At 41.5% G+C, this 16,641-nt stretch overlaps 1 protein-coding gene and 1 long non-coding RNA gene across 11 annotated transcripts in view, besides 5 other annotated features; one reads left to right on the top strand and one right to left on the bottom strand.

Annotated features, from left to right (window-relative positions):
• Window positions 1–1,620, bottom strand: part of OSER1-DT (OSER1 divergent transcript) — a 15,068-nt gene extending 13,448 nt beyond the window's left edge. The window contains exon 1 of one of the 3 annotated variants that reach the window (NR_038339.2): window positions 1,503–1,620. This is a non-coding gene — a long non-coding RNA (OSER1 divergent transcript). The other 2 variants (NR_038338.2, NR_038337.2) reach the window with 2 other exon arrangements.
• Window positions 770–16,641, top strand: OSER1 (oxidative stress responsive serine rich 1). 8 transcript variants are annotated; one of them, XM_047440192.1, is made up of 6 exons: window positions 1,809–2,568; window positions 4,987–5,026; window positions 5,261–5,295; window positions 5,582–5,699; window positions 9,506–9,619; window positions 14,841–16,641. In XM_047440192.1, exons 4-6 carry the CDS (start codon window positions 5,623–5,625, stop codon window positions 15,526–15,528), a joined length of 879 nt encoding a protein of 292 aa, XP_047296148.1. In that variant the 5' UTR covers window positions 1,809–2,568; window positions 4,987–5,026; window positions 5,261–5,295; window positions 5,582–5,622; the 3' UTR covers window positions 15,529–16,641. The 8 variants fall into 8 exon arrangements, with proteins under 8 accessions (XP_016883362.1, XP_047296148.1, XP_047296147.1 ...); XM_047440191.1 differs by lacking the exon at window positions 4,987–5,026; XM_047440190.1 differs by lacking the exon at window positions 5,261–5,295.
• Window positions 1,407–1,855: a silencer, noted in NCBI's record as "fragment chr20:42839365-42839813 (GRCh37/hg19 assembly coordinates)". NCBI's record gives its function as "represses an EF-1alpha promoter that drives an FKBP-Casp9 reporter gene in an ReSE screen in K562 erythroleukemia cells {active_cell/tissue: K562}" and the evidence as "EXISTENCE:reporter gene assay evidence [ECO:0000049][PMID:32094911]".
• Window positions 1,407–2,399: a biological region, named in NCBI's record as "NANOG-H3K27ac-H3K4me1 hESC enhancer GRCh37_chr20:42838821-42839440".
• Window positions 1,780–2,399: an enhancer, noted in NCBI's record as "NANOG-H3K27ac-H3K4me1 hESC enhancer chr20:42838821-42839440 (GRCh37/hg19 assembly coordinates)". NCBI's record gives its function as "activates a minimal SCP1, AML or CMV promoter by ChIP-STARR-seq in naive H9 embryonic stem cells {active_cell/tissue: H9 hESC(naive)}" and the evidence as "EXISTENCE:reporter gene assay evidence [ECO:0000049][PMID:30033119]".
• Window positions 2,051–2,120: a silencer, noted in NCBI's record as "silent region_12939". NCBI's record gives its function as "represses an Ori minimal core promoter by ATAC-STARR-seq in GM12878 lymphoblastoid cells {active_cell/tissue: GM12878}" and the evidence as "EXISTENCE:reporter gene assay evidence [ECO:0000049][PMID:35858748]".
• Window positions 7,651–8,850: an enhancer, noted in NCBI's record as "MED14-independent group 3 enhancer chr20:42832370-42833569 (GRCh37/hg19 assembly coordinates)". NCBI's record gives its function as "activates an origin of replication core promoter dependent on BRD2, BRD4, P300/CBP and CDK7 cofactors, and independent of MED14, by STARR-seq in HCT116 cells {active_cell/tissue: HCT116}" and the evidence as "EXISTENCE:reporter gene assay evidence [ECO:0000049][PMID:35650434]".

Genomic DNA, 16,641 nt, shown 5'->3' with positions numbered 1-16,641 from the left:
CATGCCCAGCCAATTTTTCATATTTTTAGTAGAGAAAGGGTTTCGCCATGTTGGCCAGGCTGGTCTCAAACTCCTGACCTCAAGTGATCCACCCGCCTCGGCCTCCCAAAGTGCTGGGATTATAGGCATGAGCTACCGTGCCAGGCCTTCTCAAGGATATATGAGATTTTATCTTAAGTTATATTTTGAAGTGGCAGCTTAAAAAGACATGTTTGGTTTTGATACATTTCACTTGGCAAGGTCTGAGAAAATAAATACATCATATTTCCCGCTTTTTCTTGTCCAAGAGATGTTGAGAAGGGCAGTTTAAATCCTGACTTACTAGCACTGTGAGACAGGACAAAGGCAGCTAGAACAAGTTATCTGATCTCTAACATAATCTAATGCTATCTAACTAGCATCATTAGGTTACAATGAACAGTTTTCTTTCAACCGGTCAGTTACTGAGCCTCTGGTATGAACGACGAGAATTTAAAATGTTTTATCCAGGGCCAACATCATGCTTCATGTTTAACAACGTTATACAATAAATTGTTAGATTTCATTTACAGACATAGGCCAGGCATTCCAAAGCCTGGCTGTAGTTAAGCTGGACACAGTTAAACCATCTTCGGCAGCCTATCTAGTTGACTACAACTAAGGTATTGGGGAATGACGGTGGATGGGGCCAGTTTTGGTTCAGGGAAAAACCCTCACTCTAGGGGTGGGCCACAATCAACGCCATCCAACTCAATTGCGCAAAATCATCTGTTCTCACGAAGCTTTGAGCAGTGCAGACGTGGAGCTGGAGATTGGCAGGCGAGGAGAGGCACAGCTAGATCAGCAGAACCAGTCCTGGTGATGGAGCGGGTGGCAGCTGTTGCACAGATCACCTTTTCCCGCCTACCATCTGAGCAACATTCAGAATCAGAAAAATGTAAAGAATCCTAAAATTCATCTCCTTTGGTGAACTGCCTAAATCTTTTTGCAAAATTTGGTGTGTAGGTGCATTTCTTTGGCAAGAGGATCTACAGTTCTCACCAGATTCTCAAAGGAGTCTACGCCTGAAAACACGAGATTCACCGATAAGGTTCAACTTCCTCACTTACTAGATGGAAAACTGAGAGGCCCAAAGGAGGAAAAGCAGTTGCCTCAAGACAAACAGCAGAGATATCAAAACCGAAGGCATTTCAATTCAATTCTAATTCTGGCTTCACACTATTGACCCTGGCCACGTCCAATACCTCTTCACTTCTCTGCAGGACCTAAAAGATCACCAGGAGGCGAGGGCTGGTGTCCGAGTCCCGGAGAGGTCGCAGGCAGTCCAGATTCTAGCATCACAGAAACTCTGGCCAAGCGCTCAGCCGGGGATTGTCTGCCATAAAGACCCCCGCACCCTGTCCTCGCCCCCGCCCCGTGGAATTCCTCTGCATAGGTGACTCCACGTAGAGGACCGAGCGCAAGGAGATCCCGGGGCGGTGGAGGCAGAGGACTACTGTGAAGAATGACGCCTACTCACTCACCTAACAGAGAGGAGGAAGCAGGCACGCCCCAAAAGCGGGTCGGGAGCAAATCCACGCCACTGGGAGGAGGCAAACCGAAGAATAACAGGAAATTACGTAAGGCGCACGTGCTTCTGAGGGGGGCGGGTGCGGGGCGTTGGAGAGGCGCGGCCGCCGCCCTGCGTCTGCGCAGTCGTCGGCTGCCGCGCTGCCGAGTCACTGGGGTGGGAGGAGCATAAGCAGGGGGAGGGGTGCATGCCGGAGTGCGCAGGCGCAACGCGACTCCCGAGGCGCGGGCCGCCCCCTTGGCTGGTTTGGATCCGGGTCAGTCGGGTGCCGAGATTTGGGAGAGACGCTCTGAACTGACTGCCCCGCATCACCGGAGCGTCCCAGCTGCGAGGAGGTAAGTGCCCTGACGTGACGGGGAGGGGCCGCAGCACTGCGTCTCAGCTTCCACTGCCGGTCTGGCCGCGGGCGGTTTTCCCCGGGCCCGCCCGCCTTGGGTCGCGTCGTCTCCCGACGCCTCCTGCCTGGGCCGGGCCTGGGCCTCTCCGCGCCCCCTTATCTGCCGCGGCCTGTGCCTGCTGGAGCTCCGAGCTCCACGCTCTCTCCCCTTCCCGCCTTCCCGTCCTCCCGCGGTCCCCCGCCCCGTCTCGCTCCTCCGCCGTCTCCCGCCCAGCGGCAGCTTCCCCTTTTCGCCCTCCTTGGCCGCCCTTTGCCCCTTCCAGTCCTTTCTCTCTCGCCTCGGAGCCCCATTCTCTTTGGCTACCTCTTCGGCCCCACTCCTTTCTTCTCCCGCATCCCTTGTGCCTCGCTCCGACTCCAGCCTCTCGTTCTGACCCCAGGAATCTCCCGAGGAGCGCAACTTCACAGCTGGAGACCCCGGGCGGGCAGTGCCCCTGGACAGCTCCCTGCTTGGCGTTGTCCCCACACTCCAAGCCCCGTCCTACCCCTCTGGGTTCTGACTAGGAATTTTCCTCCGTTCATGTTTAACCGCGACAGGCACAGACTCTGGGTGAAAAGAAAGAACTTTGTGCTTTGGCTGCAGCGCTGCGAGTATAAAGGGATGAGTGGGTTGCACGGAGAGGTGTGAATGTGCTTTTTGTCCTGGGGGCCGATTGTTTCCTCCCGGTCTAGTTTGCCTCTTAGAGTTGCTGGGTTTGGTTTTCTTCCCCATACTCTACGCTTTCTGGTGGTCTGGGAGTTTCGAAATCTTTAATGTTGTGATGACAACGCTTACCCGCGCATCCCTTCTTGATCGTTCTTAGGTCTTCTCAGGGGCCTGGAAGTGTAGACCTAGGCTTGGGATTCAAGGAGGTCTTGGTTAAAACGGCAAGATGTAAATAAGATTGTGACGCATCCATTTTGTTGAAAGAAAAAACCAGGAATTTGGCCTTTTGATGGAGGAACTTAGAAGAACTTTGTAATTTTTGTAAGGTTGTGGAAAATCCGAGGCAAAGTTAAATTGCCTGGTGTGATTTGACTTTAACTTCGAATAGGCTTTTTAAAGTTTCATCTCTTTGGAGATTGTTCAACTTCACGAGTTCACTGCAGTGAAAACGCCAAGACTGTCTCCCACAAATTTAATATTAATGAAGAAAGGCAAGCCAATTATATCTGTTGTCCGGAGTTAGTTGTACAGCCCTTTCTTTGAATGGGGATCTGGGGATGCAGAGGAGCATAATGAGCCTTTTATAATTACAAACATGCTCTTCTCTAGCTCTTAAGGTTATGCCTAACGCTCATTTGCTCTTGGCTAAAATAACTGAGAAAAAAAGTGAGTAGTAAAAAAATGCTGGAAGTCTGAAAATGGTTTAGACAGAACTTCATTCCTGAAGTTTTAGTCTGTAGCCAGATTTTAATTCTGGCCTGTTTTGGTTTTTAGATGATAGATCTTTTAGTGTGTCAACAGGAATGTAAAGTTTGTATTAACATCTAGGGTGATCACCTGCCATGCTATTAAGTCAGCATGGTATAATTAAAAGTTACATATGTAGGTTCAGAGCCTCTTAGCACAGTGTTACATTGTAAGCTCTTGGAGGGCAGGAATGAGATTCTAGTCCTTACGGAAATGGAGTTTGGGCTTCTATCCCTAGCATTCATTCTAGTGCCATGCACGTGGTAGGAATTCTGTAAATATTTGTGAAAGAAATGAATTTCTGCCTGTAGGGTTCAGCAGTGTATACTTAAATGTGATGTGTACGTAAATGCTGACTGATTTCCAGAGAGGGCTAAAGAGGACTTGGGGGGCGGTCTGCGGGTTGGGGAGATTGGCTCAGATGATTTATGAACTCGGTAAGAGCTGAACATTGACTAACGGATCATAAGGTAATTGAGGAACATTGTAAGTCAAACTTCAATTTAGTTCTACCAGCAGGAAGGATTTGTTTACAACCTGCAATAGTACTCTTTTAGATGATGTGAAGCTTTGAAAATATTGAAATAAGTGATTGCTCACCTCTCCCCCCAGGTATATAGGAATTGATTGTGTATTTGGGGGATCCTACCCTAAACTGAGAATTAGAGACTAGTGAAGCATGGGATTGTGTGGATAATGTTTCTTCATGTTTATGTACTTAAATAAACCAGCAAAATATACGTCGAGAATGTATCTAAATTATTTTTTTGTCCTAAGAAGTTGAGGTGCAGGCTGGCTGAATTTTTTTTTTTTTTTTTAGTAGCTGAATTCTTTTGAGACTGTTTTCAGTGTTCCCCAGAGAGCTCTGCCTAAAATACCTTAACTTCCGCAAATAAGTAAAGTGAAAAGTCCTGATTCCTTGCCTCTTTATTTTGCGCTGGTACTACAATAATATAATGGTTACTTTATATCAAACATTATGACACCTTGACCTTTGGAATATTAGAGGTCTCACAATAACTTCGGAGCCACCTTGAGAAACGAGCAGATATGAATCAGAGAGGACCCAAGGGCCGTTGGAGAGGCACTGCTCCCTCTGAGAATGCCCAAGAGGGGTGGGGGCGGGGGGGGGCGGGTAAAGGCTTAGAAATAAAGAGGTGAAGTGAACCTTTTGCTTCAAATATTCTCTATTTCTATTTTTTTTGTGGTACTTTTCTTCTGATTCTCTCTGATATGTTCATAGATGCTGGTTTGCTTAATTTGTATTCAAAATTTGGTACTAATAACCCTGAGTGAAAAAATAATTTGGAGACTAGATTCAAGGGTTTATTAACAGACTTCTCTGTTGTGTTTCTTGTTGCTTTGGTTGGTTCTTCATCTACCTTTCTCTGTTTAAATATAAAAATCAGGTGGAAAATATGGAGGACTTTGATTAATCAAACTAGTTAAGAGATCATTTAGTGGTGCGTCTACACAATAGTCATTTCTGTTTTTTTTCTTTACTTTCAACCTTTCTTTAGGCTAAAGAGAAGTTTGTTTGTTTTCTTTTCTTTTTCCACTCATGTGCACAATGAAGTTTTTAGGGGGTTGCAAGTGTATAGTTCATTTATTTTCTTTCTTGTTTAACAATTAATTACACTATTCCAGGCTATGAAGAAAAACACAAATGGAAGTATCAACCTTACTGGTAGAGTGCATTTCTAATTCTGCTTTCACAGTGGTAACGTCTTGTTCTCTAAAACGTGTCTTCCTGTGAACATAGCTGTCTGGGTCAGGACTGCTCTAGAGAAATGCTATCATGTGTCATGAAAGTTATACTTAACTAGGGTTAGGCCAGACAAATACTCAGTGTCATTTTAAAGAATCAGAGTGCTATAATTTTAGCTATTCCCTTTTATTTCTGATGTCATTTTGTTCATAGGTTTCTAGACCAACTGGGGAGATTCCCGTTAAAAAGTATGTATACTGAAACATAGATTTTAGATCATCTAGTTTCCAAAATTGTGTAATAGGATTTTGGCATCAAGTATGTGAACAGTTTATATTCTGTCATAGTACATATCCATTTTTGGTATCATTTCATTTGTTTCCCTTTAAGAAATAAAACCTATAGTCTCCAGTTATCTACACTGAAACTTCCTTTTTGAAATAAAAATTTGCTTTTTTTTTCTAACAGTAATGGTAACAGGTATACTTTTGATCCCACCTGTTTTTACTTTGCTCACTTTATTTTCTTTTTTAGTGTAAACAGGAACATCGATAAGTAGTGTAAAAACTTGCACAATGAAATCCGAAGCCAAGGATGGAGAGGAGGAGAGTCTACAGACTGCTTTCAAAAAATTAAGAGTGGATGCATCAGGGTAATTAAATATGTAATATATTATTTGGAATTATTTGTTTACTTATTTTAAATAGTCCCTTTTCCCTAAAAAGCTCTTCCTCTTTTAATATTTCTCATTATTGAAAGAAGATATAAATGCTAATAGTGCGACATTCTTCCAGATTCTGCACAGTATTGTTTTAGTTTAAAAAGAAAACCCTTTGGTTAAATTTGAAAAGTAGCAGTTCATTTGCCCTCCCAGGTTGGGTGTTTTGGTTTCGTTCACTTTGAGGAGGGCTTCCCCCCCACTTCTTTTTAATCAAAGATTATCAAGCGGTGTCCCACTAGGGATTTTATCATACATCTCAAGGGAATCACAGTATTTTTCACTAAAAGTGGGTTGGCTCAGTGGAAATCTATGAAGACATTGTAGATTTCATGGTCTGTGATTGCTCAGTCTATCACTATGGAAACCTCTATTCAGGAGGGTTCTGTCACTGAGATCAATAACCTTGGACCCTTTGGCCAAACTAATTAGAGCACCTGCATACCAGCTGCTCTCTGAATGTTAGTATTTCACCCTTTGCAAAATGTTCTGTGTAAGACTCTTCTCACACCAATTCTTTCTCCCAGGCCAAAATAAATCAACATTTTTAATGGATATAAGAATTTCTTTTCATAAATGGAAACTAAACACTGGAAGCTCAGAGTAGAACACCCACAAGTAATAATCATCATCATTAAAGTTTATTATTCACTTCCTGTGCCCTCAACACTGGGTTAAGTACTTTGTGCGCATTATTTAATTCTCACTACACCTTAGGACATGGGTACTACTGTCATTTCAGTTTACAGATGAGACTCACACAAATTAAATTACTTGCTAAAAGTCACATTGGTAGGACGTTGCAGAGCCAGGATTTGAACCTAGATAGCCTGTCTCCAGAACCTCTGCTCTTTTTTTTTTTTTTTTTTTTTTTTGAGACGGATTCTGGCCCTGTCGCCCAGGCTGGAGTGCAGTGGCGCAATCTCAGCTCACTGCAAGCTCCGCCTCCCGGGTTCACGCCATTCTCCTGCCTCAGCCTCCCGAGTAGCTGGGACTACAGGCGGCCACAACCACACCTGGCTGATTTTTTGTATTTTTAGTAGAGACGGGGTTTCACTGTGTTAGCCAGGATGGTCTTGATCTCCTGACCTGGTGATCCACCCACCTCGGCCTCCCAAAGTGCTGGGATTACAGGCGAGAGCCACTGCGTCTGGCCCAGAACCTCTGCTCTTAACCATCCTTTATGTGGTACCTTGAAGGCGATAGGAAGAAATGCATGCAGTACCTAGCACAAAGTGAAAACTAGATGTTAGTTGTTGTTACAGCCACCTGCCTATTGCTAGTACTATTTTTGGGCTATCAAATGAGAAGATTTATGCTGATAGATTTGCACAGTAGATGTTATAGGTGCTCATATTTGCTTCCATGTTACTTCAAAAACATATCTTTCCTCCTGATGGTTTTCTAATATGGTCAACTTGCCAGTTCATATCAGTACTTTGATAAATTGTCTTGGGAAACAGAAGCAAAGCAGAGAAGCAGAGAGTTCCAGATTGTGGCTGCAGTGTATCCTTTGTGATTTCTTATATAGGAATAATTTTTTTATATCAGGAAAATACTAGGAATGTGTACCCACAATTATACATACAAATCTCTTAGTGTGTAATTTTGTATAAGTAACTCTTGATACACGGACTTCTTTCCTGATGTTTTAAGAAGTTGAAATGTAAAATAAAGCCAGGCCGGGCATGATGGCTCATGCTTGTAATTCCAGCACTTTGGGAGGCCAAGGTGAGCACATCACTTGAGCTCAGGAGTTTGAGACCAGCCTCGGCAACATGGTGAAACCCGTCTGCAAAAAAACAAAGAATTAGCTAGGCATGGTGGTGCGTGCCTGTAGTCCCAGCTGCTCTGTAGGCTGAGGTAGGAGGATCACTTGAGCCCGGGAGCTGGACGTTGGAGTGAGCTGAGATCATGCCACTGCACTCCGGCCTGCGCAACAGAGCGAGACCCTGTCTCAAAAAAAAAAAAAGTAAAATTAAGCCATTTTGGTATCCCTAAAAATTACTTGGAACATTATTTAAAAATTTTTCAAAATATATGGTCAAAAATTATGTATTTGTAAAACCACATGCTGCATGTTCTCACTTAGAAGTGGGGGCTAAACATTGAACACACGTGGACATGGGAACAATAGACACCGCTGACTACTGGCGTGGGGAGGGCAGGAGCGGAATGTGGGTGGAAAACCTACCTATAGGGTACTGTGTTCACTACCTGGGTCCAGTATACCCATGAACAATCCTGTGTATGTACCACCTGTATCTAAAGTAAAAGCTGAAATGAAAAAAAATTATATATTTGTAGCATGTATTCTGCCTTGAGTAAAATTATATTTGTAGCATATATTCTGCCTTGAGTAAAATTATAAGAAGGGAAGGAGAATATTTGAGAAAATGAAATAAGAGAAGGGGTGAGTCATTAGCATGACTAAGCAGAATAAGACTTGTGTAGTAGTGTATCATACATTCTAGTTGTTTTATATTGTTGCCAGTTTACAAATGGGATATCTGAGGATTGACTCATAAACTAACCAGGCCTTGCCAGGAATTTAGCATGATCCTGTTCAACAGGTTTTCCTTAGTGGTATTTGTCTTATTAGGACAAATCTCTATATATTTATTACAAAACAATATCCTATTTATCTGATTGTAACATAATACATGCTTATTATAGAAAAATTTACAAAAACAAAACAGGATAAAAACAGAAGTAAAAATCACAGTTTACCGTAACCACTGTTAACATCTAGACCACTGGTTCATGATAGCCTATACTTATTTTACATAGTTGAGATCATAATATATGTATAGGTGTTTAACCATGCTGCTTTCTCCTTATAAGCATTCCCCCATATCATTAAAAGTTCTTTGTACACTTAATTTCTAATAATTTCCCAACATTTTGCCATATAGATATGCCATAATTTAGAAATACAGTATTTTTTTTCTATTAGATATTTAGGTTATTCCCAGTTACTTTTTACTTTCAATTATGTTTTGTTGAACATCCTTTCATTTTAGTAGATTAATGTCGCTTTCTAAAGAATTTTTGTCAACACCATAGCATGTATAGTAGGAGGGGTGTGTGTGTGTGTGTGTGTGTGTGTGTGTGTGTGTGAAAAAAGTCTGGAAGGATTTCCACCAATGTTTGATGTTGGTAGTCTCTGGGTTGTGAGGTATGGATGATTCTGTTTTTCTTGCTTTTAGATTTTTTCACGTTCTTTACTGGGAACCCATATTATCTGTATAATTTTAAACCGCAAGGATTTAACTCTGAGTAATATTTCAAGTTCATTTGTTGCAAAAGTTAGAATATTTTTCTAAAAGTTGCATAATATTTGAAAATGTATTCAGTGTTAAGTTAGATGGAGTCTCCTAAACTAAGTTTAGTTCCATGACTCTGGTTTGCCCGCATAAGATAAATGGTCAGTGTCATTAGCATTCTCTGGCCATAAGGCCTGATCTGCCCCAGGGAAACAGCCTGAAAGTCTATTTATATCCTGCTGCTGGGTACACTTACCAGTCATTCTTTGGCTTATGATTTTGCAGCCATGGGCTTTTAGGGATACTCTAGATTTGGTTTTGAAGGAAAATTTACATTAAAAGCTGAGCAATTTTTGAGAAACCCAAACTAGAAAAAAAAATGTATTGATAAAAGTTGTATTTGAGCTAGTGAGAACAATATGTTCTCCTCATTTTACAGTTTTTTGTAGCTGTAAACTTTGTTCTTGTCTTCAGGTCTGTAGCATCTCTGTCTGTTGGAGAAGGCACAGGTGTCAGAGCACCAGTCAGAACAGCAACAGATGATACCAAACCTAAAACCACATGTGCATCTAAAGACAGTTGGCACGGGTAAGAGCTTCTTATTGAGATGATTTTTATTCCAATATTATAATAGTATTGGATTTTCCTTTCTGAGTGTCCAGAAAAGAGTTAGGTTATGATATAGAACCTAAGACCCAATGATTAGATGAGGACCTATTCCTTCTTTTGCTGAATTTGCTGAGACTTTTTTTTGGCCTGGTCCATAGTCAATTTTTACAAATATTCTATGTCTGTTTGAGAAGATTGGGACTTCTCTAATTATTCTTGGGTTCTCTGTCCATTAAGTCAGGCTTTTAAATGTGTTATTGGAACCTTTTTTTCAATTTTTTGGTCAACTTGACTTACAAATAATAGAGATGTATGTTGAAATCTACCCCATGGAAGTGTATTTGTCTATTTTCCCTTTAAATTCTATGTTTTTGCTTTATGTATCTTGAGGTTATTTTGTTGGATTTATATAGCATAGGTTTAGAATGTTTTCTTTCTGGTGAATTGAAACTTTTATTATGTAGTGACATTCTTAATCCCTCATAATGGCTTTTGTCTTAAAGTTTTCTTCTAGTTAGTGTTTCGCTTGTGTGTCTTTTTCTATTCTTTTTTTTTTCTTAAGATGGAATCTTGTTCTTGCTCTGTCACACAGACTGGAGTGCAGTGTCACAATCTCAGCTCACTGCACCCTCCGCCTCCCCGGTTTAAGCAGTTCTGCCTTGGCCTCCCAGGTACCTGGGGTTACGCAGGTGCCCGCCACCATGCCCGGGTAATTTTAGTATTTTTAGTAGAGACAGAATTTCATCATGTTGGCCAAGCTGGTCTCAAACCCCTGACCTCAGGTGATCCACCCACCTCGGCTTCCCAAAGTGCTAGGATTACAGGTGTGAGCCACCACACCCAGCCTACTAGTCTTTCAAGCGTTCTGTGTTCTTGTATTTTAGCTGTGTTTCATATAAATAGCATATGACTAGGTTTTATTTTTTTCTGTTTTATTCAATGTGATCAGTTTGTTTTTAACTGCTGAGTTTAGTGCATTTACATTTATTTGATTATTGGTATCTTCAGAAGTGATTCTGTCATTTTACTTTATTTGTCCTGCTTTTTTCTATTTTTTTCCCACCTTACCTCTCCTCCTTTCCTTTCCAATTGTTTAAACACAATTGTTTTCAAGGATTTTGTTTGTTCTTTTCCTCTAGTGGTTTGGAAATGGCACACTTTGTTTCTATTCTTTCAGTAGTTGTTAGCCTTGATTTTACCATGCATGCTTTTAACAAAGACAAAAATTAATGGTAATTTAGCCCTTCTCCTTAGAAACCCTTTCCTCTGATCTCCTGACTTCCATGATATAGTTGCCCAATATTTTAGTCGTTACTTAATCTCACAGACTAGGTTTTATTATTATTTAAGCAGACAGTGTTTATTTAGATTTTTCTGTTTGCTTATATCTTCTTTCCTCACCATGCTTTCACCTCAGACCTCCCATATACAATCACTTACTTTTTTCCTAAAGTAGTTTCTTTAGTGAAGGTTTATTATTAGTAAATAGGACCTCTGCATTGTATAACTCCATATAAATACATTTGAAAGGGCCCCCGATGTTAAATACCATCAGGTCCTATTGGTAAATAACAATCATCTGTATCCATGGGGGATCAATTCCAGGTCCTCCCCACTCACACGCCCCTCTCAATACCAAAATCTGAGGATGCTTATGTCTGTTAGACAGAATGGTATAGTGTTTGCATACAACCTATGCTCATTCTCCTGTATACTTTAAACCATCTCTAGAGTACTTATAATACCTACCACAATGCTTACACAGCACTTCACTCACACAGACTCAGCATAGTGCTTAGAGCACAGCAAATTCAAGGTTTGCTTTTTGGAACTTGGTGGAAGGGGTATTTTCAGTCTGCTGCTGGTTGAATCCACAAGTGTAGAATCCGTGGATACAGAAGACTGTACTTTGCTTTCATTTATCTGAAAATGTCTTTATTTCTTCCTTGGTTTTGAAAGATAGAGTTGATATAGTTGACATTATATTTCTAGATTGACAGTTATTTTCTCTTAGCACTTAAATTAGGTACAGTTCATTGTCTTCTGGTTTCGTTACATTGGTATTGAAAAGCATACCTTCAATCCAATTGTTATTAATTTGGAAATAATCTTTCTAGTCTCTGGCTGCTTTTAAGATCTTCCTGTTGTCTTTGCTATTCTATAGTTTTGCTACAGAGTGTCTCTTATGTGGATTTCTTTTTATCCTGCTCCAGTGTATTTCCTGTGTTCATAGATTCTCTTATCAATTCAGAAAATTTCTTGGTCATTATGTCTATAAAAATCACTTGTCCTCTGTTCTCTGTATTCGTTTCTTCAGAAATTCCAGACTTACTCTGTCATCTCTCTTAACTTTTACATTTTTTCCAAATCCTTGTCTCTGTACTGCCTTTTAGGTCAGAGGTTGACAAACTTTTTTTGTAAAGCACCGTATGGTAAATTTTTTAGCCGTTGGAGGCCAAGAAGCAAAAATTCAAGGATATTAATAAGTGCTTAAATAAGAGAGAAAACTCCTACTCTACCCTGTTTGCCTGGGGTTGGCCGTCCTGGCTGGTGGACACATTCTGTCTTCAGTTGCTGAGACAGTCGCAGGATAGAGTGACTAGCCTGAAAGGAGAACCTTGTGGAATGGGTGGGTAGCAGGTAGTGCCAGGGTCAGTTCTACTTTCTGTCCCAGTGAGGCTCAGATCTCAGCATGCTCTTTTCTCCTCCAGAGATCCCAGCATTGGTTGGAGTCTTGAACTGAGATTCTGCCTCTCAATGATCAGCAGTTGCCAACAGTAGAGACCCAACATGTAGATGTTAGCTAGTGCGGGCGCTGGACAGTGGTGCAGCTTGTCTACTGGCCAGGAAGGCGGGCAGGGAGAATAGGGACAGGGGAGGATCCCCTAGCCTGGTCTGTGGCTCACAGTGCTAGCCCACTGGAGCAGTGTCCACAAGCTGTACAAAAACAGGCAGGGAGCCAGATCTGACCCACAGGCTGTAATTTGCTGGCCCCTGTTACAAATAATTCAGATTTATTTTCCCGTCAGTCATTCTTTCTTTAGCTGTGTGTACAAGTCCCCTCTTATCCATAGGGGATATGTTCCAAGAACCCCAGTGGACGCCTGAAACTGCAGACAATATCAAACCCATTTGCCATCAGTCAGAGCACGTTTTTGTTCATGTCTTCCACCCACACATTTAATGCCTTTTCCATCTTAACTAAGGACTTACATGCACTGTGGCTGTAACTTTCACATTTGAAGTGCAACAGCAAGTCTATCACAAATTTGTTTTTCCTTCTTCACAATTTTTCACATAGGAGATTCGTTCTTACCGTAGATCTTAGCAACCTCAGTATACGATTTATTTTTTTCCTTTCCTTATTAAGTCAAGAACTTTCACCTTTTTACTTAAAGAAAGCTGTCTTAGTTCATTTTCTGTTGCTGTAACTGAATACCTGAGACTGGGTAATTTTTAAAGAGACTTATTTCTTACATTTCGGGAGGCTGGGAAGTGTAAGAGCATGGCACCAGCATCTAGTGAGTGTATCATTGCTGCATCATAACATGGGGAAGGATATCACGTGGCAAGGGGGCTCGTGAGAAGTAGCCAAACCGGCTTTTATAACAGAGCCGTTCTTGTGATAACTATCCCTGTCCCTCAATAACCCTTTAATTCATTAATCTGTGGATGGATTAATCCATTCTTGAAGGCAGAGTCCTTTTGTGACCCAATCACCCCCAAAGGTCTCAGCACTGATGCATTCGGGACCAAGTTGACAACACATGAACTTTTGGGTGACACATTCTAACCACAGCAGAAGCACTTCGTGGCTTTTCTTGGTATACCCAAACTGCTAGCATCACTACTGTTATACTGTGGGGCCATTGTTAAGTAAAATAAGAGTTACTTGAACACAAGCACTGCAGTACCATGGTAGTTGATCTAATAACCAAGATGGCTACTAAATGACTAATGGGTAGGTAGCATATACAGTGTGGATACCCTGGACGAAGGGATGATTCACATCCCAGGTGGGACGGAGCAGGATGGTGCAAGATTTTGTCATGCCACTCACAGTGGGGCGCAATGTAAAACTTATGAATTGTTTATTTCTGGAATTTTTTATTTAATATTTTCAGACCATGGTTGACTGCAGGTAACTGAAACTGTAGAAAGCGAAACCATGGATAAGATGGGATTACTGTGTTCTGTTTAGCTTTTTAGTGTCTTGTTTGGTTCTTGTCTCTAATTCACTTAGCAGTTTTGAGTATCTTTTCTTTTCATTCAGTTCTTTATTTAATTTTATTTTATTTTATTTATTTATTTATTTATTTTTGAGACGGAGTCTCGCTCTGTTGCCCAGGCTGGAGTACAGTGGCGTGATCTCAGCTCACTGCAAGCTCTGCCTCCCAGATTCACGCCATTCTCCTGCCTCAGCCTCCCAAGTATCTGGGACTACAGGCGCCCACCACCACGCCCGGCTAATTTTTTGTATTTTTAGTAGAGACGGGGTTTCACCGCTTTAGCCAGGATGGTCTCAATCTCCTGACCTCGTGATCCACCTGCCTCGGCCTCCCAAAGTGCTGGGATTACAGGCGTGAGCCACCGCGCCTGGCTATTTAAATATTTTATAAATAGTTATCTTACATAGTGTGTCCAGTAATTCCCAGTATCTGAAAACCTCAGGGGTTGTAAATATTGTTAGTTTTTTGGTTTTGATTGATTGGCTGTTACCAATGATAGAAATGAATCAGAAATCTATTTAATAGTAATGGCATAATGGTCATTTGTAACGTTAGCCTCACAGTGGTTCTGAAGCTGCTATATTCAGGTTTAGGGCACAATATTTAGGCTTCACAGGATCGGTTTCAGTTGTATGTTTGAGGTGCTTCCCTCAGACCCACTGGTCAAAGGCTCCCAAGCTTAGAGTTGGAACAGGGCAGGTGTTCTGTCCCAAATGTTTGGCCCAGGTGATTCAGTTAAAAAATACCATTATCTCACCTCGTTCTATAGCTTGCTAATAAGATGATGTTGAAGTTGTTGAGACACAAAGACTTAGGCAGCATGAAAATGGAGGAAGGTGCATCTCTTGCAGGAAATTTATGAGCTTAGACTCATAAAGCTGAGGGAAGGTAAATTTCCTACTGTCATAAAGAATCTGTTTAGGACAGCTCCATATCCCAACATCTTCTTGTATATTTTTTTTCCTCTTTAGGTCTACAAGGAAGTCTTCACGAGGAGCAGTGAGAACTCAGCGTCGTCGACGTTCTAAGTCTCCTGTCCTTCATCCTCCAAAGTTTATACATTGCAGTACAATAGCGTCTTCTTCCAGCAGTCAACTCAAGCACAAAAGCCAGACTGACTCACCTGATGGCAGCAGTGGGCTGGGAATTTCATCCCCTAAAGAGTTCAGTGCAGGAGAAAGCTCTACTTCTCTCGATGCTAATCACACAGGGGCAGTCGTTGAGCCTTTGAGAACTTCTGTTCCAAGGCTCCCATCAGAGAGTAAGAAGGAAGACTCCTCTGACGCTACCCAAGTCCCCCAAGCAAGTCTCAAAGCCAGTGATCTCTCTGACTTTCAATCAGTTTCCAAGCTAAACCAGGGCAAGCCATGCACATGCATAGGCAAGGAATGCCAGTGTAAGAGATGGCATGATATGGAAGTGTATTCCTTTTCAGGCCTGCAGAGTGTCCCTCCCTTGGCTCCAGAACGAAGATCCACACTTGAGGACTACTCTCAGTCGCTGCACGCCAGAACTCTGTCTGGCTCTCCCCGATCCTGTTCTGAGCAAGCTCGAGTCTTCGTGGATGATGTGACCATTGAGGACCTGTCAGGCTACATGGAGTATTACTTGTATATTCCCAAGAAAATGTCCCACATGGCAGAAATGATGTACACCTGATAGCAAGAAGCTAATTCATATGCTTTAAACCAATGAAGGCTTGTCAAAGAGATTTAGTTAATGGCAGACCTTGTGGCCACTTTGTGTGAGAAGACATCTCTTTCTGCTCACTGTGCTTGCAATAAAAACTTTTCTTGGCATCTCAGTTAATCTTCATTCTTTCAACTTACTCTCTTGAGTTCTTACATACACTTCAAGGCGAGCAGATCAAAGAAAAATCCCCCTTATTTAGAAATGTTCCTGGGGGATGAAGAAACCATAATTACTTGAGACTGGCAGCAGTGGGTATATGGTAAAAGCCTTTGTAAAACAGTGCATTTTTCAGATTTGTTTAAGGTTTGCTAGCCAAGGAAAGTAAAATGTGATTTTGTAACTGCACTAAACATTTGTCATGCTGTAGTTGCCAGCCCAGAATATTAGAAGTTACAAGACTGATTTAAACCGTCTCTGATTTAATGCAAGATATATTGTGTCTATAAAGGTTTCTCTTGTTATTGTTAAGCCAGAGATCTAAGGTTTAGATTCAATTTGAATAAACTAGCTGGCCTGCCCTCTATTGTTTGAGAGAGTTATTAACCATCACTAAATAAGCCCCTGCTGGTGCTATTCATCCTAAGACATGTTACATGCAGTTTCAAGTAAGCAGCTTGGAATGGGCTGCTTCAGTTGGAGGGAGGGGGTGTAATATTTGAAACGAGTGTGTGTCTTCACCATCTCCAGCATTTTAAATATATGGCGGTTTTTTTTTTTTTTTTTTGTTATCAGTTGTAATACAGGTCTCATACCTCAGTTTCAGATGTTATAGATGGTTACCTCTTTGAGCTGCCCTGTCACCCCAGCAACCCTAAAAGAGAATTTTGTACATTCTGTATCCCACAGATTTGGTCAGCCATTTCAAAATTCCCTCCAGTTTGGTAAAAAAAAAATCTGTCTTCGGTTTCAGCTGGATGATGAATCCTTGTTTTTCAGGTGGCTCCAAAAAGAATGTTGCATGTGTTCAGACCATCCTGAGCAGAGCCACCAAATTTAGTGACAGTGTCTAGCCATGTTAGCAATAATGTTAACAGAAGCTTTTGTTTAAATTACAAAATACATTTATACTATTTACTAAAA

This window comes from Homo sapiens, chromosome 20 (assembly GCF_000001405.40).
Source record: "Homo sapiens chromosome 20, GRCh38.p14 Primary Assembly".
Classification (NCBI taxonomy): Eukaryota; Metazoa; Chordata; class Mammalia; order Primates; family Hominidae; genus Homo; species Homo sapiens.
Note: the sequence above shows the minus strand (reverse complement) of the source record. Positions and strands in the feature narration are given on the sequence as shown.